Source organism: Homo sapiens, chromosome 15 (assembly GCF_000001405.40).
Source record: "Homo sapiens chromosome 15, GRCh38.p14 Primary Assembly".
Lineage (NCBI taxonomy): Eukaryota > Metazoa > Chordata > Mammalia > Primates > Hominidae > Homo > Homo sapiens.
Window position 1 is genome coordinate 52,781,803 of NC_000015.10, and position 26,936 is coordinate 52,808,738.

Consider the following 26,936-nt stretch of genomic DNA (forward strand, 5'->3'; position numbering starts at 1 on the left):
TCTAAGTGATTCCAATGTATAGCAAGATTTGGGAACCACTGGTATAAATGTTGAGTCTTCAATGAGAACATCTATGTTCCGATCACAGTACCCAACAAATAGAATGTGCACAAAAAACTTAAGCTTCTTCCTTATCAGTTACTATGACAAATGAGATTGGTTGTACTTTAGGGTCTAGTTCTGTCCAGCTGTTGTCTTATTAAATTGCCTCATCTAAAAGAGAAGAAAATTTCTTTTTTTCTTCAACTTTTATTTTGAGTTCCAGGGTACATGTGCAGGATGTGCAGGTTTTTTACACACGTAAACATGTGCCGTGGTGGTTTGCTGCACAGATCAACCCATCATCTTGGTACTAAGCCCAGCATCTATTAGCTATTAAGAAAAGAAAATTTCTAGAAATTAATTTGTTACAATTTTATGATACCGTAACATCTCTTGGAAGAGACATATGTGGATGCTTCTATAGCAAGACCCTGTGATAAGTAATTTTTATGTTTGTATCAAAATAATCAGATTGTCTTGTGATTGGTCTAGTCACCTAGCCCAATCTTATTATCTCAGGAGGAAATTAAACTTCGTTAGTATTAACATACTTGTATTAAAATAAGAACCTATACAAACCTATTGATAGAAGGTAGGAATTTATGATTGTGCACTAAATCCATTCACATAAGAAATATTTTTCTTTTTACTGGACTCTATGAGACTGACATTTTTTATGTAGAAATAATGTGGCTTTCTTCTCCCAAAGATGCTTATCCATCTTATTCAAATAGAGACACAATGAGAGTATTATTTAATAAATATTTGTTAAATGTTTTCTCCAGCATTATAAGAAATGCACCCTCTAACAACCACAACTTCAGTAACACCTTCCTTCTGTTGCTACCCTAGGTTGGGGGCCATTCAATTTTACCAAGAGTGTGGAAATTCTGCTGTTTTAATGGGGACTGAAAGGAAACTAGTCATTTCTCATTCAAACCATCAAGGCTCCTAGATTGATTTAAAATATTAAGTCGGTGTTTAAATATTCCAATAAATGGACTTTACAAAGAGCACAAGCAATGTCACTTGAGGAACAAGGCCTCAAGCTGAGGAGCAGGATATTGGAGAGCCTCCTTCTTAATTACCCACCTTTATTAGACTTGAGGATTTTCTGTCTTACAAGAAAATCAGAAATAAATTTTATTGGTATGCTCTGTAAGAACGATTTCTTCTGATAACTTGGGGTAGCAGCATTTGTTTGATTAGCTGAATTTGCCATGAATGTGGAAATAATGACATCAAAACAGCTCGTGTAACAACCTCCTTAAAGACCTCGTAGATTAGAGATGACTATAGATTTTCCCCAGCGCGGATCAAAGGGACTGAATTGAACGTTTTAGCTTAATGATCCAACCCCTGTCACACCCACAGGGACGCGAATTCCGATTTTATAAGCAGGTGTGCACGTGCACTCAGATACTCACACAAAGCCGCGTGGAGGGACGAAAAGATCAACCACCCGATCGACGAGGATAGGTTTGATCTTTTCGATTACCTCAGTGTGCCAGTGTATATTCCCGGCTGGGCCTAGCGCCCTAAGAAACTTCGGAACTTTAGCTGTTAATTTTTGTTTTCTTACTATGACTTCCCAAAGACATTCTATCTGCCTACCGGGGCGAAGAGAAATGGGACCAGGCGTCAGGGCGGTGGGACCCTGTCCAGGGTCCTGACTCCGCGCCAGGGCTCCAGACCAGTCGGCCTCCGAAGGCCCTTTCACCCACCCCACACAAGAGGAAACAAAGACTTCTCAGCTCAAGGCCTCAGGGCTGCCTCCTGACTCCGGTCAGTTTGCAGGAAGAGGAAACAACAAAACAAAGGAACCGCCAATCCGCCGGGTATTATATCCCTCAGCTCCAACCTCCGACTTCGGACCGCCAGGGTCACCTTCTCTACGCTGACCCCGCTTTTCTTAAATGAAAACACGCCAACAAAAGCATACTTCGGATACAAAATCCAAGTACGCATCTTTTTTGGGGAGGTTAGAGCTGAGGTGTACTTCGGAAGATGAGAATTTTGTTTTCATGAATTGGGTAACACCCAGGCATTGTTAGGTACCCCGACAGACCCTCTAGATATCCTTCTCTTCCTCCTTCACACTTTCTTCCTATCAAAATAGTTATTGTTTTGAAATTCACTAGAACAACGACGTTCTAAAAACAAAGGCGCAGCAAGCATCCCTTTCTTCGCTGCCGCGGGCTGAACCACGGACGCTCGCGGGTCGCCCAGCCCCGACGGCCCGCAGGGGGCGCGCGCCGCAGCCGCAGCACAGCCCGGCTACCCCCAGAAAGGGAGCCGAATGGAGGGAAGCAGGGAGCGCGGAGGGCTCGAGGCTTGCAGATAAGGAGAGGCGCATCCTGGGATTTGGGTCCTCTGCTGCTACAACACAACCGTGCTATTGTTGGCACTGTCCGACCCAAGTGTCGGTGGTAAGCGGCGATGTCGGGGCTGGGTCTCTAGCAACCGCTGTGCCCTGGGTCAGGCTGGTCGCCCCAGCTACCGGGATCCCTCTCCGGATGCTTCCAGGGCGATAGGTGCTGCACCCATTGACGGGATAGCCGCATACCTCCGAACAGGTAGTGGAGTTCGTCTCTGGCAGGCATCCTAGCTGCGCTGACACCAAGGTCGCCACACAATAGCCATCAGCCCCCCTTAAGCCCCAGAAGTAGGTTTCCCCTGCCCCAGCCATAGCGGTTCCAGTCGTCGCCACGAGCCCACTTCTTATCCCCAAGCGCACCTCCCTCTCCTCACCCGGGTTTATGCCCGTTACACAGAGAGAACTACACAGGGGGAACTATGGTCCTACACCCTCGAGGGGACAGACACCGGCCGTGAGACAGGCACCACGCAGAGCCTTCTGGTGACTGTCCGCAGGAGCGAGACCTTTTTTGGTTTTGCAGTCGGCTAGGTGTGTGTGTGTGAGGGTCCCCAGTTGACTACCGGGATGCACTGCCACTTTTCGGCCTGGCGGGCTCTGGGACTCCTTGGTCTCCGTAGGAGGCCATCCTAGGCCTTCGGAGGAGGCGCTCCCAGCTGGCGGCGCCCCTCGCCCCGGGCTCAGAGGCGGACACGGTCGGTCGCGCCCTGCTGGCCCTTTGTTCGCGCCGCAGCGGGCTGGGAGCAGCTGCGCGACACCAGACCCACAGCGCCAAGACGCGAAGCGCGAGGAAACCGCTGCGCTTGACTCCTTCTCCCCCAACTCTTGGACCCAGGAACGCTTCCAGCTCCTGCGTCCCACACGCCCAGTCCTGGCTTCTCTCCCGGCCCAGAAGTCTTCAAGGATTGAAGGGCTCTGCCTAGGGCCCCGCACTCCTGCCTGACTCCCATGGCCCAGAAAAGCAGGGGGACATTTGAAATGTCACCCCGGGATAAATATTAACAAAAAAGCAAATGGACTTGTGCAGGGGCCAGTTATCAATCAACCAGGCCGCAAGGCCACTCAGGGCAAACACAGCCCAGGTTGGGCTGGGCGAGACTTTCTCATGGCCGCCCCCCGACCGAACCCCTCCCCCCTTGGCTCAGGTCCTTCTTAGGTCGTTCTGGGGCAAACACCGGACGGGAAGGGGGCGCCGCCAACTCCCCCGCGGGGTTTGGAGGTTTCCTCGCCTCCAAGTCCCGCAGGGCAGGGTCGGAGTGCCCAACACCCACCCCCGCCCGAACCTCGGGCCTGCGCGCCGCCTTCCCCTGGGTCCGCGGTGCTGCGCTTGCTGTTGGGTGTGTGTCGCTGTCTCTTTCCGAGCCGGCAGCTCCTGCTGTGTGGCCGAAGCCCTCTGGAATCTTTAATTGGAAACTAATCTTGGTCTTGATAGACGCCCACGTCAGAGGCGCGCCACCCACCCACACCCCCCGCCTCATCCCGGAGGAGACGCGGCGAGAACCCTGTCGCTCTGCTCTTTAATGGGGCAGCAGCAAGTAGTACATGGAGGGAACATATATTGATTTTTAAAAGGTAGTTAATTTGGTGGGAATTTCCTCCTGTCGCCCTTCTTCCACCAGCCGCTGTTATTTCGTGACCGGAAGGCGCCTCCCCAAACACAGCGCCACGTGCAAGAGGGTTTTGACCCTCTGCAACAGGCTGCCGGCAACTGGAGGACAGAGGGGCGTGGAGAAGCCACCACTCTCCCGCTGCGGAGCGAAGGAACCGAGCTCAGTGAGCCCTGACCTCGCAAGGTGGTTGGAACGAGACTGGGGAGGGTCTCTGAGCGCAACAGCAAGGAAAGCTGCCAGGGGCACCTCCCCATATGGGAGCTGGTAGTGGGGGGCAGGCACTAATGTCCCGTAGGAACGGCCAAGGCGCTCTGCAATCCATTTTAAGGCTCATGCACTTGGCCCGTTAGAGATCATTTGGAAAGTTCAGAAAATAACCCCACTCTTTTTAAAATATGAAAATGTTAATGAGATGGCTCCTTCTTCAGTAACTTAAAAATAGGTTGTGAAGAGACTGTTCCTGGTTCCTTGCAGGAGACCCTCCTGGACCAACACAGAATCCTCAGTCCTAGCCCTTTCCACCATCCCTTTTAAGTTAAGGAAACAAAAATGTAATAGACATGCTTCCTCAGGGTCTCAGGACACAGAGTCGGCTTGGTGTTTGGTGCCAAATGCCTGCCCTGCTGGACTCTCCAGTGTTTCACTTTTTCGAGGAAAAGGCCATGGGCCTAGGGCCGAGGGCTGCATGGACCTCTACAGGTTGCTGGGTGCCCAGGCAGGCGCTCCTTCGATAGCCTCCTGGGTGCCACAAGCACCTGCCAGGCACCATGTTTGCGCCTCCAGCGTGCGGGTCCCAGCACTCAGGCTCCCTCCCCCTCCACAGTGCCGTCCCCTGAGCTCGGCTATGTAGCTCTCCACGCTTGGAGGTCAGAGGGCGCTCCTGCGGCCAGGTTTCCATGGCTCAGAGGTCGTCTCTGAACAGAACGTGTCAGTCTGTCCTTCCAGGGGGCGACAGCAGGCAGTGGGGGGAGGAGGGATATTGAAGTCCAGAGCAAGAGCCTCCAGGGGGCGGGGGTGGGGGATGGGGACCGAGTTTTCCCGGAGGGGTAGCCTTCTCCATTTCTATCTTCTTCCCACATTCCCCCGCTCCACTCTTTGGCTTCAGCGGGCACTGCCTGGGTAAGAGGCCCTGAAGCCTGGCTCTGGGGTGGTGTGGGTGTGTGAAAAGGCACTACCTTGGGCTCTGGAGAGACGGAGCAGTCAGGACGAGGAGCAGCCCCTTCGCCCACTCCCTCCGGAACCTCAGTTGCTCGCGGGCAGCCCACGGGTGGAGATATGGTGCCGGTAGCACAAGAGCTAGAGAGTGGAAAACCGGGGGCCAGCGATTCGCTGGGGCGCCCAGCGAGCCTCTTCTCCCCTGACTGGTTCCCGGGCGCAGGCTGCAGGAACCTGCATGAGGACTTTGCCTGGGGCGAACGAAGGCAGAGCTGGGCTGGAAAACCTGGCAGGGCAGAGTCTCAGCCAGCGCGGTGCTTTGGGACCGGTGGCCTGCAGCGCCCAAACCCAAAGAACGCTTTGGGTCGCTTCGGGGCACGAATCGCAGGCTGGTCGGCACCTGCCACCCCCAGCTTCTCATTGGCAGGCACGAGTTGGAGGAGGGGGCTTTGGCCTCACGCTTTGATTTTAGACTGTGAAACGGCTCAGTGCCCCCGGCTCAGAGCGGATTGACTGTCTCTCGTTCTCCAGGGACGAATTAATGGAGAACGATCAGTTAATTAACAAACCCTCATTCCGGCTTTTACCTTTTCTCTTCGCCAAGGCTCAGGCCTGGGCGCTGGGCTGAGATGGAGGTGGAGGTGGGGGGTGGGGGAGTGGGGGGGGAGGGGGCATGGACCAGGAGTCAATCAACTTGGCAACCGCCGGCCGGATCTCATCAAACCCAGGCCACCCTCCGCTGTCCTTAGCTCTACCTCCCCTCATGTTCTCTACCCTCAAGGGTCGCCGAATCCTCCTGAAATCCCCGGTGGGGTTCGGGCTGGGCTCAGCTTTCTTCTCTGCCTATCCGCGGTCTCGGGGAGCCAGGCGCGGTGTCTGCGCTGCGCCAAGGAGAGCTTCCAGCTGAACTCAGAAACACCTGGGGCTTGGGGTTTCGGGCAGGAGACCTCTGCTCCTAGACTTGGGGGTCATTTACACACTCTCATCCCCAAACCCCCCTCCCGCACGGGGATTCAGACGAAAATCGCGAAGAGGAATAATAAAACAAAATGCAAAGTCCTCAGGGAGTCGGCAGCGGAGTCGGTCCCAGGACATGGCTATTGCTTTGCAGCTCTCACTGGGACCTTGGGACGGTCAGCCTCCCTCTCCTTTCCACAGCCAATTCCATGCGCAGAGAGCGTCCTAACCCTTACAACTCGTCTGTGCTACACACCCACCGCCCAATGGCTCTGAAACTTTTTGCCCATACTCTTAGATTGAGGTCACCCCAGCCAGCGCCAAAAGAATGAGCGCGGGAGGGGGTCACAGCAGCCAGTTCGGCCAAACATCGACGCTGCTCCGGCACGCTCCAGCCCAGCGCCTGGGATGTGTCAGAGGTACCTGCGAGGAACATTTGCGTGCGATTCCACGCACGCGTTGCATCCCTCTTCCCAAACCCGGATCGCTGAACTGAGAGGTGGCGCAGAGTGTCTCACCAGGTGCGGGGATTTCTCTCCGCCTCAGGCCGTACGAGCTTCCCTCGCTGTCCCTGAGCGCAAATGAGCCTCTTCAGTCGCCGAGGCCCGGCCGCTTAGCTCTCGGAGCCTTCCACAGCCCAACACCCTGAGCCCTGGAGTAGGCAATTTGCTCCCACAGCCCTGTGCTGGCCCTTCCAGGCACAGGGAGTCCCCCTTCTAGGGGTAGGGGCGGGCGGGATGAAGCGCACCCAGCCCTCTCTCCTACCCTTCCTCCTTTGGTCCCTTCGGCTTTCGTGTACCTTATCTCCCGCGCGCCCAGCTCCTTGGCCGGCTCACCTGCTAAGCGGAGCGCGGACATGCGCTGGAACTCCGGCTCCTGCAGCCACTTCCACATCCTCCGGAAGGTCTCCCGGCCGGATTTGAGTTTGCTCCAGGGTTTGGGGTTGCGCAGCAGGTCCGAGAGGGTCCCCTGGGAGCGGCAGAGCACCCTCTGCGCGAAGATGGCCTGTGGGATGCTGTAGCGCTTGAGCTCGGTGGTGATACGCTGCGCCACCTCTTTGGTATTGATCTCTTCCATCTGCCCTGAATTACTTCCATTGCTGACCTGCGCGCCGGTCACCGAAGGGTTGGGCTCCCGGGCTGTGCCCAGGAGTTGCCCGTGGCCCTGGGCGTTCAGGTGGGCGTGGGGATGGTGCGGAGGAAGGCCGTTGATGGGCACCATGCCGGCCGAGGTGGGCGTGAGGTGCTGCTCCCCGTGGCGGCCGAGCATGGCCGGGTGGTGGGCTTCGAAGCCGTTGGGGGTGAGCATCTTGTCGGTGGGCATGGCGGCCCCCGGGTGGGCATAGTGGGGGAGCCCTTGCTGGGAGTTGTGGATGCTGCCCAGACCGGAGCTGGAGAGGGGCGAGAGGCTCTGGCCCATGCCGGCCACGTCCTTGTGGTAGGGGGTATAGAGGTTATTCATGGAGGCCAGCCCGCGCTCATCCCGCATGAGCGTGAAGCTACCGCTCACGTTGCCCGCCAGGCGCTGGTGGTGGTGCGGGTGGTGGTGGTGATGGTGGTGGTGGTGATGGTGGGGGAACTTGTCCGAGACTGTGGAGATGGGAGGCAGCGGCTGCAGAGGGGTCAAGGTGGTGTAGGTGGTGGGCATGCTCATACCTGGGGGAGTCTCGCAGGCCATGGTCATGGTGGGATGCAGGGGGCCGGCCAGGCTGTGCTCAGGGGCCCGGTGGTGGTGGTGGTAATCTCCGCCGCCGCTGCCGCCGTCCAGCAGGGACGCCATGCCCATGGAGCGCGGGTGCGCGGGGGGCAGGTGGCTGCCGCGGTGCGCCACGGAGCTGCGCGCGTGGGGGCTGCCGCCCAGCAGGTCGGCAGGGGCGGGCACCGGCTCATGGCTCACCCCGTGCAGCTCGCCGATCGCTTCCATGGTCAGCTGCGCGTTCATCGTGATCCGGGCGAGCAGGCGGCGGACACAACATCGATGTGGCCAGGCAGAGGCGGCGAGGGGCGCACGGAGTCCGGTCTTCACATCGGCTGCTGGCGACTGTTGCCTTCCTTCCTCTCACTGTGGGGCTCTGTCTCTCTCTCTCTCTCTCTCCGTGTGTGTGTGTCCGTGTGTGCGTGTGCGTGTGTGTGTGTGTGTGTGTCTCGCCTTCCCTCTTACCCCCCACCTTCCCCTCTGCGTCCTCGGCTTTTTTTTTTTTAATATTAATTTCCAAAGAGGATCCGCGCCGTTGGGAGAGCGCAGTGCCCCAGCCCGCCCGCCTCGGCCACCTCTCGCCCCTCTCTTTCTTAAAATTCTGAGGTCTCCGGCTCCCCTGCCGCGGCCCGCGCGCCTGCCGCGTCTGCTGCCTGCCCGCCCCGCTGGCCAGCTTGAGCCATGGCTCTGTTACTGTTACAGACTCTGTGGCCGCGGTTCGGTAGCCGCCGCCGCCGCCGCCGCAGCGGCCCGCCCTCACGCCCGCCAGGCGCAGCGCGCATGCGCGAGGCCCGCCCCCGCCCCCTAGGTCGCGGCGCGCCAGGCCCTTGGCGTCCCGGTACAAATGAAGGAGGGGGCCCAGCGCCTTCCCTGCGGCGCTGGATGGCCAGGGAGCTGCGGGCACGTGCGAAAGATTGGCGCAGAGCGCGACCTGGGGCCGCCGCTGCAATCCCAGGAGACTCGCGCCTGGCTCGCTCGCCTCCCTTGCTTGAGTGGGCTCTGTCCTCCCAGCCCGGGGACGCTCGTGTCGGGCTTCTAGCGGCTGGAGTGCTGTGCTTGGAGACATCGCCCCTCTCTCTCCAGTTGCTGCTTCCCGGTGCAGCTTGCCCGGGGAGCTGGGGACTGTGTCATCACCCCTTCGGCTCTAGCCCACTAAGCTTTATTTCCCGGGGGGCTGCTGGGAGTGCGCTTTCCCACCCTTGAATTCACGGCCTATTGGGGGATGGGGGTTGGGGTGGGGTGGGGTGCAGATTGCTTAAAGGGCTGGGTCCGTTTGGCGGCCGTTGACCCGGCACCCTTCGTCCTCCCAGATACATACTTGCCCACCCTTTCTCATCCATGCCCTGGGGAGAGGAGTAATCAGTGCCAAGAATCCCAGTTCGGGCCATACCTCACTGTCCCCCGCCGCCTGGCTCCTTCTCCCGCTCAGCTCATAATTAAGGCTGTGCGTCCGCTTCGCCGATGACTCGGCCTGTGGAGGGGGGCGAGGGAGAGCGGAGGGAGTGCCCTGGAGGGTACCCATGTTAACTTCCGGGTGCTGGTGGGGCCGTGGAGGCTCGGGCCGTCCCTGCGGTTACTCCCAAGGCCCTCCTGCTAAAGCACCCGGAGGCGGTTGCTTTCCAGAAGTACTGACGCAGACAGGGTGGACGCCGGCGCGCGGGTCTCCGCTTGGCCCCTAGGGACGCCCTTTTCCCGGCGTCCCCGAGAGACGCCTCCAGATTTGAAAATCAATTCAGCTTCGGGAGTAATTTCGCCCTTCCCACAGTCACGCTCCAATCTGGAATCGAACCTGGTCTTTGGGCCTGGTGGGGACGTGTGCGGAGGCCCCCAGTTTGAGACGTACACCCGGCCGCCACATGCCGCGGCTTTCTTTCATTTACAAAAGAAAGAAAAAAAATCCGCAACAAAAGGCAGAGCCGTGTCCGCTTAGGTGCTTTCATCCCTCAGAGAAAGGACAGATGTGCCCATTGTCCAGCCCGTGGCAGTTATGGCCGGGTCAGCGCCGAGCCTCAGCCCCAGGCAAGCGGTGGTTACAATGAGAATAGCCTCTCAGAGCCGGGGTATCTGGACTCAGATATGGAATAAAGTGTGTGTAGCCTGTGCTGGGCCAGACTCAGACTGTAGGTTTGCTTGCTGGGGCACCGAACTGCAGCCCACCCGTGGTGTTTCCACTGCAAATGCTCCCAAGCCCTTAGAGAGGCCAAGGCTGTGGTAGTGGTGGTAGTTGGGTTTCCAAGGCAAAAGTTTGGGCTGGCCAACCCTTTGGGAAAAGTTCCCACCGGCCCAGGCATGAGTAGGCCTATCTCTTTGCCCAGGTCCCTGCTACCACCAGGGCAACATCCTAATCCAGGTAGGTCAAGTTCAGTGGATACAGTCAACGTGACTTCCTTGAAGGCGGCCATGTCCTGGGACTGGTTAATCTAGCTGGTTTTATCACCAGAGGCACTCCCATCCTGTCCAAACAATGCATATGGAGGCCCTGCAAATAATTCATCTCAATGGATTTCATGTCTACTTTCATAATGAACAGTTAGGAATTTAGGAACCCCCAGAGAAGAAAAGATATTTTAGGGAAAATACACTGATGTAAAGGAACTCAGAAAACACGATTAACTCTTTAAACTTGTATCTATATCTACCTATTCATACACGCATACACACAAGCACAAAACATATATTTCCTGCCTAGTATATTACAGTACCTTGGTGGAAAGCTGCATCTTTGGTTTTTAATTGTTTCCATTCTCATTTCCTACAGCATGAGACCAAACAATGGGTTAAAGTAGCAGGGAGTCTTTCAGCTAAACAGTTGTCCCCCCGCCCCCGCCCCAATATTTTAATCCCGCTGAAGTGATTGATTTGCCCTTATGACAACTATCTTCCCAAAAGGCAGTTTGTTAAAAGAAAGAAAGAAGTAAATACCACCAAGTGCACAAATTGTTCATGGTTTTCTCTTTGTGTAGCTAATTAGGAACTTGATCTTGGAAACCCTCCTTCATGAGAGGCACTCAGCTGAGCCTCTGGAGTCCACCTGAATAAGGCTGGCATCAGGTGAGCTCAACTTCCCCTCTCCCCCAAGGGCATTTATGAAAAGGGGGGCTGGCTCTGTGTTGGTCCCTAAAGAAGGAGCCAACGAAAAGACCTGGAGAAGCACCATATGTGTTGGCTTGCTCAGTAATTTTTGATTTTTTTCTAAAACATTAAAATATTGTATGTGCAGGATTTGCTTTGGTTTGCAAATCTCCCTAATCTTTCTTGGCTATTCACACCATTTATCTAACCATTGTTCTCCCGTAATTGACTGAGTTGCAGTGGTTTCTCAGTCAGAAACAACATATTACTGTGTTCTTATTTGACCTCTCAAAATTTTTCTTCTTACTAAGGAAGTGACGGGTAGGAAGAATGCTCTTCTTAGGCCTAGTTAAGGTGAATTTGCATGTGTGGAGGGAGGACGGGCACTAGAGAGATTGTTAACTGCTGGAAGGCTGGGACTACTTTCTGTCGTTTTGTCCCTCTCCTTCTTTCCCCCTTCCAGTGCCCAGAACAGAGCCTGGCACCCATTAGGTACACTATGGGGATTGAAGGAATTAAGAGTCCACAGAGGAGTCCCTGGAAACTTGGTAGGTGTAGGTCAATGTGTGTGATTGAGGAGGAGGACTTATTTTTAGCTGCTTAGATTTTGAGTAGCTGCAGGAAATTTAAAGAAAAAAATAGTGTCAATCACTAGCAGAAAATTACATAATGTATATATGTAAGAAAAAAGGAAATAAGACTATGACTGGATGCTTGTTGCTGACAATATTTTCAGAGTGAAAACAAGGAACTTAGGATGTTTATTTTGTAAATGTCAGGAGAAGAACCTGGGATATGAGATGGACAGGGGCAATCCTTCTTTTGCTAGGTAGGCTAGAGCTTACCACGCTGCCCTACCAGGTTCAGCAAAGAAAAAGCGCAAAGAGAATAAAACCATTCCTCCAAATACTGGCCACATGAGCTTCTCTGAAAACCTTCCATTGGTTTCAGAATTAATGCTTTAATTATTTTTGTGAGTAGTAGAGGCGTAACGTATGGCCCAGTCCCAGTTCTCAGGACCATTCCAAAGAAATGTTTCTAGCTCCTCCGAACCATGAAATGTCTACTTCCCATTTTTTGGACTCACAAAGAGCGAGATCCTGGGTGTCAGGGCAAATTCCTCCACCCAGGGATCCAGGGGGAGGCTGGCTCCTTGGCTAGAGCCCCAGGGCATATTCACTGGCATTTCTGATGCCTGTAGCTAGTCTAACATTAAACTTGTGGGGAGGAACCATTTCTTTGGTATCTGGCTACAGTAGAGCACTAGATAGCTGGAGAGTGAAAGACTTGGTCCTGGGTGCTTCCTGGCAAGCTCTCCTGTTCCACTTCTAGAGAAATTTTATTCAGAAAATTGCTGCAGGCTTAGAGTAGAACACCAAGAAATTCAGAATGGGGTGGCCTGGTGACTCACTATTGAAAACCATTAAAAAAAAATCACTCAATGACTTCTCTCCACTCTCTGGGGACCAAGGAAGTGGTAACTAATTATGGTAGCCCCTTGCTTCAATCTTTGATACTCTGTTTAGCGTATCATTTTATTCATATGTTCGGTAACATTTTTCTTTCTCAAATTACAGTTTTTGCCCAAGAAAATATTTTTAAATTGGGCTTTTTTTTTTTTTTTTTTTTTTTTTTTGCAGTTTCCTCTGTTTTATCTACTTCTTGCCCTTCCATATCCCAAAGAGAAGATGCTCTGTCAAAGGGCTGTCAGCTGGTGCCATCCGCAACTAACTCCACGTTCTGGGAGTTGCCGAGGGCTGCCTGGGCGGCCATCCCAGGACACCAGACCACTCGGCTCGTATCTCTGGTTACTTCCTGCGCTGGGGAAAAAAGAACACGCTTGCTCTCCTGGGTCCTCGGGTAAACTACAGGCGGCTTCTCCTGGGTTGGAATCCGTTTTGGCGGTCGCCTAATTCCGCGAGGGCTTTTTCACGGCTTCAAGCCAAGAGCGCTGAAGGGAGGAAAGGTATACTGATGCCGTAGGGCTGAGGGAGGGATTCCAGGCTCCTGGGGTGTTCTTCTGCAGCAGGACCCCTCGCTGGCCGCTGCCAGCCCACTTCCGGAGGAGTTGGCCTCGTCTAGCCAACAGTTCAGTGGGATTTCTTTCTTGGACATAACTTCATATCATTGAAATAGTCTACAAAAGACACCAGCTCAAGCCGCGAGGGCGTTGAATTGTCCGGATTTGGGGTGGCGGTTAATGCTCCTCTTCTGGTGCCTCCCCCGCTGGGGCCCTGCATTCCATTAGCCCCGCGCTGGGGTAGAGATGCCAAGTTTAGGGGCTGGAGAGGACAAGGGGAAGGACGAGAGAACTCTTGCACCGACGGATGTAGTTCCAAGCGACCCGAAATGAGGAAAACCCAGAAGGGGCGGACGGAGGGCAAAGTCGGCCCAGGACGATCTTCAGGCGCACCATTCTCTCGCCCTGGAGGGACAGGGAAGGGCGGAAGCGGAGGGTGGCTGTCCAGCCGGGAGCCTCTGATCCACGGGGCTTGGACCAGCCACCCCACCCGAGGGCGGCTGAGGACTGGGCGGCCGAGCTCGCGGCCCACTTAGCTAATGCCGGGTAATGCCGACCCCGGCCCAAGAGCAGCAGCTGCACTTGGGAAGGAAAACTCTTTAAACAAATCATTTTGGTGTCTAATCAATTAGTGTTTGCGCAGTCAAGTACCGTAGATTTAACAGAATAATCGTTACTGCCCTTGTCTTTATTTGACCCGCAGACACCTAGAAGATTTAAAAATGAAACGCCGGTGTTCCGGGCTCCCCACCCGTTGCCTTCGACTCCCTCCGGGGCCTGCTAGGCCAGGTCGGGGCTTTTGCTTTCTCCAGGCCTAATCTCCTCTTTGCCTCCCTCTTCAACCCTCCTTCCCCTTCACACTTTTCCACACTTTACCTTGTTTTCTTGCCCTTCCAGCCCTGTCGGCCTTCCGAGTCTCGATCTCCTCATCCCCCCGTTCTTTACCCCCGTGGCTGGCACGAGAAACGGCTTCTGATTGTGGGACACCCAGGATTCTGGGCGAGCGCACCTGCCTTTTGGCCTGAGAGCCATCTGGGTGTAGAATTAGGGACTCGCCAAGCGCCCAGTTGTCTTTTCCCTGGACCCTCACTCTCTTACCCCTTCCTGAACCAGCCCAAGACCCGAGGGGTCCTATGCGAGCTCTTTGGCTTCTGTGGAGCTTGGAAAAGACTTTTACCTGCGGGCGGGGTCTGCCTGAGTCTCTCCCGGTAAATGCAGTGACCCACGGCGCAGGACGGGGGTTGAGAGGAAAAGCTGAGAGTATAGCCTTGGTCCCTAAAACCCGTTTGCAGGGCGGGGAATTGGGTCTAACGGCGGGAGGGAGGATGTTGTGGGGGGAATTCGTGGGGGGCTTCCCAGCTGACTGTTGTGTGGTGACTGCACTCTCTGATGCATGCTTCTCTGGGCCAGGTTATCTCCCAAGGTCCAGGGGTGCAGCTAGGAGGTTCTCCAGGCGCTTCTGAATTGCTGCTCCTGCACCTCCCTCCTCACCCGGAGTCTTTTTCAGGCCTAACAGGTGTGGACGCCTGTGTATGTGTAGACAGTCTGGTTCTGCGCCATGCCTGGCCCTCATGCCACCAACGCTGGGTTTCAGGAGCCCCACCAGCCCTGAATCGAGGCTCCACAGGGTTGGAAGGATGCTTACCAGGGCCAAGAGACCTCGAGGTGGGGCTGCGGGGCAGATGGACCGGTGGGGTGAGGAAGTTTGGGCCACCCGAGTGGCCAAGAACACCTCCACTCCTTAATTCCGCTAATCATTTAGCTCAGCAGGGAGGATGAGGTTGGAGGCTGATGCACCCGGGTAGTGGGTTGGTTAAATAAGAGGCTGTAATTCTAAAAGGGGGAGAGGGAGATGAGCTGGAGGTAAAGCTGCGTCTTCCTTTCCACATTTGGGGCTCTGGCTGCCTCAAATTGAGCCTGGAATGTTTATACGCCCCCAGAACTGCCTCGCAGTCCCTGGTCTCCATCAACCACCTGAGAAACTTCGCTCTCAACAATAGATGATTATAATGTACTTGACTAATGCCTGTATTTTCCTGTTTAACATACATTAATCTGAGTAACAAAAAAAATCAATATTGCTAACAACATTGCAAACAAATCCTGGTCTCTCTCACACAAAAACCTCCTCCGATTTTCAGTCACTCCTACCTCCTTGAATTTTGTTATTCACCTTTAGTCTACTGGCAGTCCTTGGCTAGTCTAGAATCCAATCCTGGCTGGCTGTCAACAGCCCTTATCTAAAACTCCTGATTTTTTTTCTTTCTCTTTGTCTTTCTTTCTTCCTTTCTTCGTTTCTTTCCTTTTCTTTCTTTTCTTTTTTCTTTTCTTTTCCTTCCTTCCTTTCTTTCTCTCTCTCTTTCTTTCATTTTTTTTTCAGCCGTGAGTGGAATCTGGGACCCTTCAAATGCCATCCTCCTTTCAATTGGGCCATTTGAAGACCTCGAGTTTACCTCAAACTTCATCCCTTCCAGCACCAGCAAATGCCCAAAGTCACTGGCCAATGACTTATGCTTTTGTTGTTTTCCTTCCCTAACAATCTCCCTTGTGTGACAGCCACCAGCACCTCCCTAGGGCAAGAGACCCCACGCTCTGCTCTCACGTAGCTGCCACCTGCAGCTAATCTCAGCTGGCAGTTGTTGAGTTTATGATTCTTATTTTGATTATTTTTAAAAATTGGTGTTTTCCACCTGGAAGGAACAAACCGGAAGGACTGGCTAATGAAGGAACTTAGGTTTGCAAAACACCGTGAATAATTTAGTATTGTATTTCAAGGAAAAAAATAGCTTTCTTAAATCATCCCCGCAATATAAATTGCAGACTTACAGTATGGTCCTGGTAAGTCTAAATTTTTAAAGGAGCAATATTCAAAGAGACATAGATGTCTGTATTAATTATTTATTCGCTGGTGCCTTCCTTCGTTTCTAACTTATTATTAATTAGGCGCCTCTAGTCTTTCGCAGAGCGCTCCACTGAGCCGGTTGCAGCTTTAAATATGAATTAAAAGCAAATCCAAGCTACTGTAATGCGAAAATTATTCCGTGTCTTGCATGGCAGAGATGAATAGCTGCGTGGATCAATACCGTGAAACTCGGCTCCCAACGACAGGGTTATTGATAGCTTATATTAATGATGTTAATGATGGAAAAAGGAAAACAACGGCCCACCCGACTTAGAAACTTCTTAGCCGCTGAAACCCCGCAATAAAAACGGGAAGGGGGCAGGAATCGGGCTTAAGTGTAATAAGAAAATTATTTATGAAACCGGATAAATGACTTCAGAGCCTTGATGCATTTGAACCTAACGCTCTCGGCTCCTGGCAGCCCCGGCTCCAGCTGGGGAGACCGCGAAAACCCCAAGCCACGGAGAGCTGGGGGGCGGGGGGCGCTCTGCTTGCCTAGGCAGCCTCCGGCTTGCCGCCCCTCTTCCTCCGTCCCCGCCGGAAGAGCCCTCTAGGGCGCTGCTCGCAGAAGCTTTGGAAAGTTGGTGGAATGGGGCAGGGACAGAGTTGGTCCCTGCTGTCCAGGCGGGGACAGAAAGCCGGGTTAGTGGTGCCCAGCGGTCTGGGATTTGGGTTCACTTTCTTCACTGGTTCTCTTGGCACCCGCTCAAATTCTGCGGTCTTGTCGGGGGCCCAGGTCGGGCTCTGCACTGTGGCCTCCTGCCCATCTGGCCAAGGCTTTCGGGATCCCCAAAATGCAAACGGGTGGCTGGTGCCTGAGCAGGAGAGGGAAGGCTTTATATGAAGAGAAATCGTTCTAAACACGGTAGGAAAACTGGAAAAGGCGCTCACCCTCCTCCCCCGTCCCCCGTGCCTCCGTGGGTTCTTTACCAGGCCCGGGGTTTAATTGGGCCTTGGCATAAGGCTCCCAGCAAGCGCGGGACATTCTAGGCTAGCTGTTCCCGGGCTAGAGGAGAGTGAGCGCTCAGGTCTGGGCCCAATTCTCCTGTAATTCGGCACAGGCGCCGCCCCCACTTACCCACTGGCCCCAAATATCGACCCACTCTCGGTTTTCCCCTAGTCAAGGGCCACTGAGAGGGAGGAGGAGAAACAGAGGGGGTGGGGGAGCGAAAGGTTAAATCCTGACCCTGGAGGACCGCGGGAAAGTTCAGAGCCCGAGGGTCAATCTCAGGCCCGAGTTCCCATCCCCCACTGCTGGGGGTAGAGCCGCCAGGTCCCCTCCCCCTAGCTAGGGTCCTGGGCCCTTGGAGGCGAAGCTGAGTGAGGGAGAGGGGCGACCCCTGGCCGCAGTGGGATGGGGCGATGCAATGCTAGGGTAGCCGGTGGTGTCCCGGCCTGGCGGTGTGGTCGGGGGTGCCCTGAGTCCAGTCTTTCTGATTGGTGCGGAAAGTTGAGGAGCTTTTAATTTACACAGGGGCTGTCATTTGCTCAGTGCCTCAGAAGGGAGGAGAGGCCGTCTGGTACTGCAGGCAAAGGCCCAGGTGGTCCACCAGGGCAATTACAATTTCCTAGAAAAGACCGGGTAATTTTGTGTTTTTTATTAGGTCTTTTAAGAGCTGTTTTTCTTCCTTCTCTCCCTCCCGTCTTCCTTTCTCTCTCTCCCTTTTACTCCCTCCCTTCCTTTCTCTCTCATTGGTTCCCTCCCTCCATTCTTTTCTTCCTTCTCTATCACTCCTTTCTTATTTTCTTCTCCCTTCCCCCCTCCCTCCTTTTTTCTTTCTTTTTCTCCACCCCTGTCTTATTCTTTCCTTCTCCCTAGCTTTCTTCTCTCATCCCCTCCCTCCTTCTCTACAGGGGAGCCTGGTGCAGGTCTCTGCACCTCCAGACTTTTATATGAAGGGTGCCAGTCCATTTGGCATGACAAACTAATCCTGTTTCTGAAAAAAAGGAGAAAGAAAGGAGAGTGCCAGGTGAGCCTCAGGATGCAGAGGCGGCACCTAAGCTTCTGGGGCCCTTTCGCTGTAACTGGCCTTTCCTGATGTTTCTCAGTTAGGCTTCAGTCCATAACCTGTGCAGGGTCGTGCCCCTTTCCTGAGCGTGGTACATTTCTGACATCCGTGGAGGTTGCATTCCTCTTGCTAAGTAATATTCCCACGGTGCCATCTGGGCCCCTGACATCAGCAAGATTTGGGGGTTGTTTTTATTTTTATTTATTTGATTTTATTTGGAGAAAAACTTGAGCCTGTCAATCTCAAATGCTGTAACCCCTAAAAGCACCGTCAGAGCCTTAAATCTAGTCTAGGGCACCGGGGCGGCCCATTCAAATCACTGTCTCAGACAAAACCCAAACTTCCTTCCACCCAGGAAAAATCCCTTGTCAGCTATCTGGCTTCAAAGTCCACAACGTGTTTCAGATAAGCACCAGCCTGCATAGACGCAGCCCCGTTGCCACACAGTCTAAAAGAAAACAGCCCTTCTTCAGAAAGGAAACACAACAGCCACTACAAAAAATCACTGGATTCTGGAAAAAAAATCAATATCAAAATTAGATTTATTGTCTGCTTATGTGATTAAAAATGACAAAGTGTTGCCTCTTATTTTCATAAAAAGAGAGAAGGCTGAACAAAATAATTTACTATCGAGTTGTGCTCGTTTCATTTGCCTGGCAAAACCTGGAGGAGGCCTGTAGGGCGTTTGTGGAGTGCAGTGGCAGAACCAGAAGCCCACTGCGCAGGAGTGAGCTCGCTGTCAGAGGATGTGTGTGCTACAGTGTCTGAGAACAATTTCCTAGTCCCCAATATGTGGCCACGCTGGTTCAGCTGAGCAGGTCTCAGTTCTGCCTCGTTCCAGAGAAATACAGGGTGATCTGTCCCTTGCTCACAATTTTTTGATTCAAACCCAGACTCCAGGTCCTGTTCTTCCAAATAACTTTCAAGATGACACTGCTGTATTGGTTTCCGTCACAGTCTTCCTGGTTCGCTTAGCCACCGCCTCCCAGATCCGCATCCAGCCTTCGATCCTGCGAAGAGCTACGCAGTCCGTGTGTGTGTGTGTGTGTGTGTGTGTGTGTGTGTGTGTGTGTGTGTGTGTGTCCGACTGCTTGGCCCAGGCCGGGCTCTCTTTCCTGGGAGGCTCTCAGGGTTTCAGTCTAGGCTGGAATCACTCAAACTGGGTTTCCGAAACCTCTGTGGGCTGGATTCCTCAAGTGTGGCAGGCGGAGAGCGCATTCTAGGAAAACGACTTCATTGGGAACGTGCTGATTACACGGACGATGGGGTTATTTATCTACGTTAAAAACAAAAAAGGAAAAACTAAAAAAATCCGGTGTGTATCTCATCTTACACTCCCCTTCCGTTCCCCAAGCCGAATCAGACTACCCGTGTCTTTCCGCTGCTGCTGCTGCTGCTGCTCTTGGGTTAGGGTCCATGTGCGCAGCCAGGGTTCCTATTCATCCGCTGCCTTCCTCCGGAACAAAGTGGCTCCCCATCGTGCCAGGGGTCTTGGAGCGAGGCCCGCGAGAGTGCAAATAGCTTCACTCACACTTAACAGCACCATTGGAAAAATAACTACCAAGCCGGGTCCCTGAGAGTCCCTAAACGTGCCTTCCGATTTGGAACTGGCGTTGTTTGGCGGGTTGCACACGCCAGGGACTAATTTGTACAGGCGTTAATTGGTCCTCCGTTTGTTCTGAAGCCAAACCCAGAGGGTTCATCTCCTGGTATTGATGCAAATGAAACCCAACCAAACAATCTCCTCCATAGAATCCCCAGGGGGCATGGCTCCTGCAAGGTCGTCCTGGCCTCCCCTTGGGGTCCAGGGCTTAAGGAGAAGCGGATATGGTCCCTTGTTACTTGTAAAGGTGACAGGCCCCGCTGGACGCCAACGCTGGACTAGCAGTGGCCCAAGACCCGCCAGCTCAGCAGCCGCCTGCTGTTAGGCTCGACTTTTGTCTCTCTTCGCCCCCCGTCGTGCGGGGCCAGAACACCCTTGAGTCAGGGCGTCTTTTCCCCAGATGCTGGAAGGGAAGTGGCAAGGGAGCCTGGATCCCAACAGACAGGCCTGACCTGCCCGCCTCTGGGATGGTGAAGGCAGCCAGAGGGTCGGGCGTCGGGTGGCCCCTGCTGTGGGGCAGCTCCAGCTCCTTTCTGCGTCAAGGTAGATTACTCCACTAGCTTCCTGGGGAACAAACCCAGCCTTTCCTATTGCCCTGCGGGCCCCTGTCTAGCCTCGTCTCCCAACCCGCCTCCCTCTGCAGACTCTAGCACCCCGGAGCTGCCGGGCCAAGGGTCAAAGGTCAGGCCTTCTCTAGGCCCAGACTTCCTTTCCGCTTGGGCTGGTGTGAGTGCACGAGTCGCCCAGGCCTATCATTCCCGCTGGACGCCCATTTCCAGAGTGAACAGGCGCATACCCCAGAGCTTAACCTTCGCTTCCCAACTTAGCCGCTCTGCTCTTTGATTATGTGGGGTCTTGATGGGGGTGGAGCAGTTTAATTTAGGAAATTATATCCAGACCATAAAGTGACCTATCTGGACATTTTAGGAGGTTTTTTGTTTGTTTTTGTTTTTGAGATTTTAATGATTTCTCTAAGCTTAAGCAAGTCAAGGTGGCTTTGACCACAGGACTGAGGAGGAGTCTCCCATTGCATCATTTCATTGCCCCAACCTGGCCACAGCTGGAAAGAAGTTGCCAGAAGGGATACAGGAAAAGCAAACGAATGCCCAGCCCTTCAAATAGACAGTTCTGTTCCAAAGGGGCCGACCTATTGCCTGAGTGGGGGCAAGGCTGGGAGAGTAAAAAGCAGATTTCTATGCATGCTCATGTGGCCCAATGTAATGAACACATCTCTATCAATTTCTGGAGGCAGAAGGCTCAATTTATTTTGGTTTTAGTGGTGGAAAGTCCTCAGCCTTAGCTCTGACTGATGACAGAGCAGCCGAGTAGTTAGAATTCTCTCTCCAACGAAAGCGATGGTCAATAGAATTCTCAGTATCAAATGAGCAATAATTTGCTGTGGCTACATGCTGGATAATGAAAGATGTTAGCAGGATCAATAAAAAATGAAAACACTTTTACTTACATCTTGAGTTACTGTTTTAAGAGAGCGAGAGATGTAACAAACCCAAAGCCAGGTTCAGAGCCACCCAACACACCCCTCAAAACCCCAAGGCACACAGTTTTGTCACCACCTGACTGGCCCTTCCAGAATGCCAGGCCTCCACCTTTTCCCTCAGGAGAGTAGATTATTTACATTAAATTAACCCTGTAGAGACCAGTAATAATTTAACTGCCAGGGTTTAAAATTTTTCTTTTGTTTCCTAAAGCCAGGAATACATTTTAAATTGTTTTCCACCAGGATTAAAGGTCACGTAATAGGTTGCAGTTTACCAAAAAAGTGTGCAAGTGTCCCAGAGCTGATCTGTCTGTTGAAATGCCTCAAAATGTGCATCTGACCCAGATGCCTAGGAGGGCAAAAGAATAGATTTAATTCCTTTGGATTTGTTCTGTGTTGCCATTTAATCTGTAAAGTTCAGACCCTAAACTCGATTTTTTCCAGACAAGTTAATTCCCCCATCTTCTTTCATAATCATTTCATCTGTTTAATTTGTTTTCCATTTGGATTGGGTTTATTTGTACTTTCCAGTCTGCTTTTCTCACCACTCAATCCCAAACGTTTTCTTACATATCTGGTTGTTAAGGAACATACTGTGAAACAATCAGAGACACATTCTACATTTTTAAAAGATACCAAGACGTAAAAGACGAGAAAAACATCCCGGGTGCTCTGCATAAACCACACGCAACGAAAAAGCTCACCGCCAGACAGCTTCCAGCACTCGAACCAATACAAGTAAAGCACATTTGCAAATGTGTTTGACTGTTTTTGTAGGTTTAAGAAGACTACGTTTTTCTGACCACTTCAAAAAAACAAACACGAATTCAGCCGCTGCTTTAATAACCTCTGACCAGAGGAGCTGATTTTGCCACCGAGTTATCGGTCAGTGCTGCGAGGTCAGTGGCCTGTGATCATGTTTATAGCAGGTTTGGCTTGGATTTGGTGACACAGCCAGCAAACCTGGGAGATTATGAAACCGTGAACCAGCCCAGGGAAGTGTAGTCAAGTTTCAGTTTGGGCATTTCTCCGGGTGAGGGAATCCGGTGGGCTCCATTTCTACAAGGCTCACAAACGCAGGTGCAGTTCGGCCGCCGCACGCTGCCTGGCGGGAGAAACGCGCACAAACCGCAGACGCGTGCTCCTGTAGTTGCCACTAGCTCGGGGCACGCCCGTGTTATTTACACCCTGCTCGGGGGCCCCCCTCTCATTTGTTACTTTAAACTCATGGGGAGGAACTGTTAGCTGCCGTGGCGGGACTGGCAGGCTGGGAGGGGGGCGCCCCCGCTCGGCTCCCGGGCCGTGACGCGGCCGCTGCCCTCCGCCCCTGGCTTCCACCCTGTTTGCATGGCCACAAGCTCAGCGGTGGACCAGCGTGGCCAGGCCCCCGGAGCCCTTGCCCCGGCCTACCGCCCCTACTTCTTCCCCCTCACCACCCCCCCCAAACGCTTGTGAGACTGGCTTACCCTGGTGGGCGAGTCGCAGCGCATTAGCGGATTTCATGGCAAGTTGCTTCTGTGACATGAGATCAGGTTCGCGTTCGAGGATTTGCCCCCTAGGAGGGAAGGAAAGGAGAGTCAATCTGCATAATTTCAAATGAGAAATAAATAGGGAAACAGGGAACTGAATTTCAAGCCCCCTAATTCCTCCCTCCCCCCGAACCTGTGAGCCACCCCGCACCCCCCACAACACGCCCCGTGCACAGGTAAAAAAAAAAAAAAAAAGTAATCAGCACACGTCGCAGGTGATACCTTTTATTGTGCTCATTTTAAAGACAGGAACAGGATGGCCTCCTGCCCGAAGACTTTCTCTGCAGCCAGGCCCGGGGCAGGAGGGTCAGCTGGGCAGCATCCGGGCCCGCGGATTCCTGCAAGGTCGCGAGGTGAGAGGTGCGGGGAGGATAGACCTCGGGCTCGGCGCACAGGGTCTGGGCCAGACGCACAAGCCCAAATTCCCTCCAGCTTCTTCGGCTCCATCTTTAAGTCCAGGCAAAGATCAATTCCCTCTCTCTCTTGAACACACACATTTGCAGCCATAAATAAACAGCTCCCAGCTAAATCAGGAACCGGAGAGGAGAAAGGGAAAAAGAAAGGAGAAAAGAGAAGGATTGAGAACCCAAGCGCGAGTCTCGCCTCTTCCGGGCGCCGACTGGCTCTTTTTGGTCAGGCCAGCCTCGCATTTGGGGATGCAACTTGCATTTGAATAGCTGCCTGGGCTTGTTATGGACCCGGGAAAGCTCTGAAAGGGAATCACTATGCAAATTGTCCCAGTTACAATCGAAAGGTTCGATCTCCAGGAGCTGCCTGACGGAAGTTGATGTCAGCTATCTATGCATTAGGGTTGCATTACCGCCTTCGTCGGCCTCCTCGCCACCCCCGCTCGCGCCTGCAGGGGAGGCTTTTTTTTTTTTTGCTTATGTTTATATTTTCCCTCAGTAATTAAAAAAAAATAAAAAAAGAAAATAAAAGGCTGAAGGTGGTGGCATAGCTGGCTAGGGCCTGGGAGGCCCACGGGCTGAGAGGGGAGGAGGTGCGGAAGGGCGGGGTTGGGTGGCGGGGGGGGTCGTTCTTTTGCAGCAGGTGTTGATGGTGCGTTTGAAATCAAACATTTAGATTTTTTTTTCGCTTTGCCGGACGAGGCGGCGGCGGCGGCGGCGGGGGGTTGGGGCGGCGATGTCTGCCTCCTCCCGCCCGCTTGATCCTACAATGCCGGCTGCGGATCAATACCCGCTCACTGTAATCCCAGTAATTGTAGGGCTCGCAGCTTTTATTTTAAAGAAATAGGACACTAGGGCGCCGGCAGGCGGCTGAGGCAGAACGGTTGGGCTGCGGTGCCTCCGGGGGCCTTTTGGGGCGCCTTTTACCCCAGAGCTCAGAAAGCTCCGGGCAGCGGGGTGGTGGCGGGATGGCCAGTAGCCAGGGCCCACCTGGCGGCCCGCCGGGATGTGGAGGCCCACTGGGTTCCGGCCCGGCATGGCGCTGGCGAGAAGGCGCCGCTGGGCGCGTAGGGTAGGCAGCACGCGGGATTTAGCCTTTTCCCGACCTGCGCGCGGGCCCTGGCGGGAAGGCCAGGTCCGGGATGGGCGTCTTGGGCTTGGGCGCCGACTGTGGGCGGTCTTGGCCCCAGACCCCGACGCGTGGGGACCCAGGATGCTGGAACTCAGGCCTTCGGCCTAGAAAGACAGAGGTTTTGTCTCCTTTCTGCCGCCTTCCAGGGCCGGAGGCCGGGCCAGGCTCCCGGGTGGCCTAGCTCGGGCCTAGTCTGCGTCTGGCCCTCGGTCTGGGAATTGGCAGGGACGCTAGGACCTGGTGATCTAACGCCCGCGCGGCCTCTTACGCCGGGGTTTCCTCCAGGTGCTCGTTGCCACGCGTTCGCCCGACGCCCGCAGATCCCGTCGCGCCCGCAGGCTAGGCCAGCTCCGCAAGCCGCCTGCTACCTCTGCCGCCCGCCCCTTGCTGGCAGAGTCCGGGCAGGACTGCCGGGGCCTGGGGCCGCAGTCCCCGCGCCGCTGGCCGCCCGCAGCTTCTGGCGCCCCCGAAAATGACCATCTGTCATTCAATTAAGGTTTCAGGGCAGCTGATGGGGGAGCCAGGGTCAGCGACCCCAGGACAAAACGGCCTGCTGCCTCGGATAGGAGAAGTTCAAATGTTAAATGCAGAATATTGTGCCCTCTCCCAGTCCGGGGCCCCACCCGGCCGCAGGTCCGGCCAGTGGACAGCAGTAGGGTGAAGGGCAACGGTCATTAGCACTTAGATTTCAGCTCTGGGCCCAGCTCCTTCTGTTGGGCTATTTTGACCAGAGAACCTTTAACCCTTTCACGCCAGCCCTCCCTCTAGAGAAGGCCAGATTGTCCAAAGGGGGAAAGTAAGAGAGGGAACTTAGATGCACCCATATGAAGAAGGTTCAAAATGTTTTTTGTGCTCACTTCTTCATAGGAATAGCAGACAAAATACCCGCAAATTAGAAAAATGTTAATTATAGCCAAAACAAACGAAAAGTCCTCAGAAAGTTTTAATATTTTTAGTTTTGGGGAAAGGAGTGCATTTATTAAATATGACTGTGAAACTGCTGGGCCAGTGTGGAGAGAGTCTGTAAAATATTCCAGACTTTTCGCCCATAACTGTGTTTACCCAAATGTGTGTGAGTGGTGATGAGACTCTGCTAGCTATAGACAACTCCATTTATGTGCTGGTGATGAAGTCTCCATTGCAGCCAGTCTCATTTACAGTTGAAAATAAGTTAGACAGTTGGCTTTTCCCTTTTGAGACGTTCCTATAATAAAATGAGGTAAAAGTAATTGTAACTAATGGAATTCATAAAGTACATTCATTAAGCATGTACATAATGCCCACAGGCTGTGGGTATTTAGGTATTAATATGCTTGGCTTTTCCACCCCAATCTGAGGAGAAGCAGCCGCACACTTAGCAGTTTTCAGTGGAAGATCCAACTAGTCCTCTTAATTATTAACCAGGAAGCCTAAAAACAGCTATATTAGCAAGATATCATTTTAAGGCTTGGAAATCTAAGTCCTTCAGCAGGCTAGTTAGCAATAGAGGAAGAACTCAGAGCTTCTAGCTTCCAGCGCCTGGTTCTAAACATTAAATCTAGTCCTTACTTTTTGGAAGTAACTATCAAGCAATCAATTAATCAATCAGGCATTCAGCATTGAAGCACCTTAGAAAATTTTTCATTGGATAACAATGAATAATGCATGGCCCTCCAGTATATTGACTGTGGTAAATGGTCTTTAAGGTAAGGTGCTGCAACAAGTACCTTTAAATAAAATCAAATAAAAAGTTTACCACAATCATAATAAATTGTTCAGTCATCTTCTTATTGACCCACATAGTGTCTTTCTTCAGGGGCATTTGGAGTTATTTTTTCCCCCTTACAAACAGACCAGAACAAATTGATGAATTGAGCTTTCGCTATGCTAATTTAGACATTATAAATATTTAATTAACATCCCTAATAGCCAGTCATAGAGCCCCCCCTCCACACTGCTTTACACTCTTCTTAATCTAAAGTAAATGCTTTTCCCATTAATAGCCTGATGCCATATTAGCGCTTCCTCGGTAAAAGGGCCCCATTTAGTCCAAAAGGAGGGAGCATTGAGTAGTCTGCATTAGGTAGGGGTTTATGCCTGTTTGTAAAGGATCCTGGGAGCCGTTACACATCTCTACAAATTCTACCTTTCTTGGTTCTTGCTTAAGTGAAACCATTCTAAGAAGTGGGGGAGCCTCTCAATTTCATTTTTTGAGATACTTTTGAGGTTGTAGTAGAATAAAACTATTTATTTTAGTAAGCCCTAGAAGTGGGTCATAGATAATGGATAACAAATTTCTAACCAGGGACTGTGCTAGTCTTTTCAGCAAAAGTTATGCAGTGAAAATAATTTTGAACCAGGAGTCAAAGGACCTAAGTTCAAATCCTATGGCACCCACTAGCAGTGGGACTCTTGGGCAAGGGATTTAACCCCTCAGAACTTCAGTTTTCTCTTTTAAAATGGAGATAATGTCTATGCCACAGAGTTAAAGATTGAATGGGAGAATGTATGTGAAATTGCTTGGCATATAGTAGAAATAAATATTAGGTTAATTCCTAAATGACTGCCCCAAATTCATGAGTCCTTCTCTCCCCTTATATTTATTCTTGTCATCCTTAAAATACCCTATTATCATAATCTAACATTGCAATAGCACTTTATATTTGCAAGCATTGTTTGTCTTATTAATCCTTTGATTTAGTTTCTATAATGTAAAATAGGGAGAAACTAGAAGACCTAAACTCTGATCAAGAGACAGTTTAAAAACAGATACTGGAACTTAGATGCTCAAAAGCTCTGAGTCATAAACTCTGATGACTGAAATGTCCTTCCACAACAGTCCTTGTGTGGTTTAGAAAGATTCCAGAAGCTGCATTATATTTCCCTGGGGGTAGGAATCAGGTCAGAACGGAGAGTTCAAGAAATTAGAAGCTCTCCAGGCTGATCTAA

At 52.5% G+C, this 26,936-nt stretch overlaps 1 protein-coding gene and 3 long non-coding RNA genes across 14 annotated transcripts in view, besides 6 other annotated features; 2 read left to right on the forward strand and 2 right to left on the reverse strand.

The window, feature by feature from the left end:
• ONECUT1 (one cut homeobox 1) overlaps positions 1-8,534 on the reverse strand; it is a 35,284-nt gene extending 26,750 nt beyond the window's left edge. The window contains exon 1 of the mRNA NM_004498.4: positions 6,978-8,534. Coding sequence (NP_004489.1) covers positions 6,978-8,082 — 1,105 coding nt within the window. The 5' untranslated portion in view covers positions 8,083-8,534. The remainder of the gene's footprint in view (positions 1-6,977) is intronic.
• Positions 8,530-8,824: an enhancer, noted in NCBI's record as "tiled region #217; HepG2 Activating non-DNase unmatched - State 4:PromP, and K562 Activating non-DNase unmatched - State 4:PromP". NCBI's record gives its function as "activates a minimal TATA promoter and a strong SV40 promoter by Sharpr-MPRA in HepG2 and K562 cells {active_cell/tissue: HepG2 | K562}" and the evidence as "EXISTENCE:reporter gene assay evidence [ECO:0000049][PMID:27701403]".
• Positions 8,572-8,641: a silencer, noted in NCBI's record as "silent region_6451". NCBI's record gives its function as "represses an Ori minimal core promoter by ATAC-STARR-seq in GM12878 lymphoblastoid cells {active_cell/tissue: GM12878}" and the evidence as "EXISTENCE:reporter gene assay evidence [ECO:0000049][PMID:35858748]".
• On the forward strand, positions 8,628-13,604 carry LOC105370824 (uncharacterized). The gene is made up of 2 exons (XR_001751550.2): positions 8,628-10,887; positions 12,549-13,604. It is a non-coding gene; the product is annotated as an uncharacterized LOC105370824 (long non-coding RNA).
• Positions 8,821-9,589: an enhancer, noted in NCBI's record as "H3K4me1 hESC enhancer chr15:53082820-53083588 (GRCh37/hg19 assembly coordinates)". NCBI's record gives its function as "activates a minimal SCP1, AML or CMV promoter by ChIP-STARR-seq in naive H9 embryonic stem cells {active_cell/tissue: H9 hESC(naive)}" and the evidence as "EXISTENCE:reporter gene assay evidence [ECO:0000049][PMID:30033119]".
• Positions 9,590-10,357: an enhancer, noted in NCBI's record as "H3K4me1 hESC enhancer chr15:53083589-53084356 (GRCh37/hg19 assembly coordinates)". NCBI's record gives its function as "activates a minimal SCP1, AML or CMV promoter by ChIP-STARR-seq in naive H9 embryonic stem cells {active_cell/tissue: H9 hESC(naive)}" and the evidence as "EXISTENCE:reporter gene assay evidence [ECO:0000049][PMID:30033119]".
• Positions 12,614-13,311: an enhancer, noted in NCBI's record as "H3K27ac-H3K4me1 hESC enhancer chr15:53086613-53087310 (GRCh37/hg19 assembly coordinates)". NCBI's record gives its function as "activates a minimal SCP1, AML or CMV promoter by ChIP-STARR-seq in primed H9 embryonic stem cells {active_cell/tissue: H9 hESC(primed)}" and the evidence as "EXISTENCE:reporter gene assay evidence [ECO:0000049][PMID:30033119]".
• Positions 13,312-14,007: an enhancer, noted in NCBI's record as "H3K27ac-H3K4me1 hESC enhancer chr15:53087311-53088006 (GRCh37/hg19 assembly coordinates)". NCBI's record gives its function as "activates a minimal SCP1, AML or CMV promoter by ChIP-STARR-seq in naive H9 embryonic stem cells {active_cell/tissue: H9 hESC(naive)}" and the evidence as "EXISTENCE:reporter gene assay evidence [ECO:0000049][PMID:30033119]".
• Positions 18,364-24,637, reverse strand: LOC101928499 (uncharacterized). Of its 6 annotated transcripts, none has more exons than NR_187813.1 (4): positions 24,277-24,637; positions 22,692-22,993; positions 22,407-22,495; positions 18,364-19,115 (listed from the first exon to the last, which is right to left on the reverse strand). It is a non-coding gene; the product is annotated as an uncharacterized LOC101928499 (long non-coding RNA). The 6 variants fall into 6 exon arrangements; NR_187814.1 differs by having other exon boundaries at positions 18,364-22,045; positions 23,983-24,637; NR_187812.1 differs by lacking the exon at positions 24,277-24,637 and adding an exon at positions 23,867-23,943 and having other exon boundaries at positions 18,364-22,045.
• LOC107983981 (uncharacterized) overlaps positions 21,950-26,936 on the forward strand; it is a 417,903-nt gene continuing 412,916 nt past the window's right edge. For 5 of the 6 annotated variants that reach the window (XR_932257.3, XR_004837531.2, XR_007064641.1 and 2 more), the window contains exon 1: positions 22,697-22,822. This is a non-coding gene — a long non-coding RNA (uncharacterized LOC107983981). Of the gene's footprint in view, positions 22,021-22,696; positions 22,823-26,936 lie in introns of those variants that run through there. The other variant, XR_004837530.2, reaches the window with a different exon arrangement.